Source organism: Homo sapiens, chromosome 21 (genome assembly GCF_000001405.40).
Source record: "Homo sapiens chromosome 21, GRCh38.p14 Primary Assembly".
Classification (NCBI taxonomy): domain Eukaryota; kingdom Metazoa; phylum Chordata; class Mammalia; order Primates; family Hominidae; genus Homo; species Homo sapiens.
The window spans coordinates 30,880,025-30,881,900 of NC_000021.9; the positions used below are offsets into that span (position 1 = coordinate 30,880,025).

General features: G+C 47.3%; 1 protein-coding gene across 1 annotated transcript; it reads right to left on the bottom strand.

Annotated features, from left to right (window-relative positions):
- Window positions 1-619: 619 nt before the first annotated feature.
- Window positions 620-1,556, bottom strand: KRTAP11-1 (keratin associated protein 11-1). Its single transcript, NM_175858.3, has one exon. It carries the CDS (start codon window positions 1,498-1,500, stop codon window positions 1,009-1,011), a length of 492 nt encoding a protein of 163 aa, NP_787054.1. The 5' UTR covers window positions 1,501-1,556; the 3' UTR covers window positions 620-1,008.
- Window positions 1,557-1,876: the final 320 nt, after the last annotated feature.

The window sequence follows — 1,876 nt, forward strand, 5'->3', positions numbered from 1 at the left end:
CTGAGGCAGGAGAATCACTTGAACCCAGTAGGCAGAGTTTACAGTGAGCCAAGATCGTGCCACTGCACTCCAGCCTGGGCGACAGAGTGAGACTCCATCTCAAAAAAAAGAAAAAAAAGAAAAAGAAAAAGAAAGAAAGAAAAGAAAAGAAAAATCATAGCCCTTACTTCACCGCACAGCTGAAGACTCTCTCTGAACAAGTAAAATATAAGATAATCCTTGGTTTGGTCACAGGGCATAATGATTAAGCCCATATTCTAGGCTCAGGAAAAAAAAAATCAGACCCTGATCAGCAAAGACTCTTGCAAACAAGGAGCTCTGTTGAGAAAACTAAATACCACCTGTTCTCACTAATAAGTAGGAGCTAAACATTAGGTACACGTGGACATAAAGATAAAAACAATAGACACTGGCAACTGGAAGAGCGGGGAGTGAGGAAGAGGAAAAGGGTTGGAAAACTACCTATTGGGTACTATGTTCAATACCTGACAGATGGGTTCAATCATACCCCAAACCTCAGCATCACACAGTATACCCCTGTAGCAAACCTGCACATGTACCCCGCAAAAACTAAATTAAAAGTTGAAATGTTTAAAAAAGAATTCTGCTGAGACATACATTTGCAATGCCAACTAATGCAGGTTTATTGAGAAATACATGGTGAGACAAGCTCTGTTTTTGTGAGACACAAAAGCAGAGGCCAGGAGATACAGCAGCAAGGTGAAAACATGTCAAAAGCATCAGAGACTGGGGTGTGGATGGTAAAGCTTCTGGACACATCCAGAGGCATACACAGCACCAGTGAGCAACCCTTAAAACAAGCTTAGGGCTGGCCAGAAAAATTTTAGAGTGCTAAAGACAGCGTGTGCATGGATAGTAGCCAGCAGTCAGGCGGTCACAAGAAGGGTCAGCTATGAAGAGCTATTCAGGGACAAGCAGCATGCTGGAAGATCCTGGAAACAGCTGGCAGGTCGTGGAGTCTTGATTCGCTCACTGGCTCCTACACACTTAGCAGGTTCTTCGGCAGCTGGACACGCAGGACTGCTGATACGTCCTGGAGACCCCACAGGCTGGCTGGCAGACAGTAGAGACTCCTCCCACTGGTTGGCAGACAGTAGAGATGCCGCCCACTGGTTGGCAGACACTGGAGATGCCTCCCAGGGGCTGACATCCACTAGAGACAAAGGTGAGCGGCCGGCTGTAGGTAGTTGAGCAGGGGTTGGAAATACAGGTAGTTTGTCGAGAGCAAGTCACCTGGCAAGGGTTGGAGACACATGAAGTTCGCCGGTAACAGGTTGGCTGGCAAGCAGTGGGCTCACAGCAGGTCTCTTGACAGTGGTCCAGGAGCCAAGAGCCAGTCTGGAAGGAACTGGGCAAACAGATGCCGCCCAGGCAGTCAGCATCAGTGGTGGAAGTCGTGGTAACTTGGGCCACTGGAACAATGCAGCGTCCTCCAATGGGCCTGGAAGAGCAATTTCTTGTGGAGCAGTTGAAGGACATGATGTCAGACAGAGGGCTGCAGGTAGCTTGCTGAAGTTACCTCCTGAGTTGTGAATGTCACTCCAGACTCCTGAGCTTTTATATATCCTTGCTGGTGGGTGGGGCTCTCTCCCTGGTCTCCGTGGCTTCTTTGGCTCAGACCAGTTTGCCTTAGAACATCTTGTGAATCTACACATTAATTGTCTCTTAAGAAGCCTTCACCCTCATAAAGAAAGTTTAGTAGTTTGGTAACTAAATCACAAGTCTTCTGTACTGTACTTAGTCTGATTAAGAAGGCTGGTTGGCAGCTTCAAAGCTATTGGTCATCCCAGCCCACACGTTGTCCCTCATTCATCTTGCTTATGATGAGTGTTGACCTGACACTCATCCTACCAAA

Bases quoted from the DNA above. Each gene is read 5' to 3' on its own strand.
- KRTAP11-1 (NM_175858.3), bottom strand. From the start codon at position 1,500: ATGTCCTTCAACTGCTCCACAAGAAATTGCTCTTCCAGGCCCATTGGA.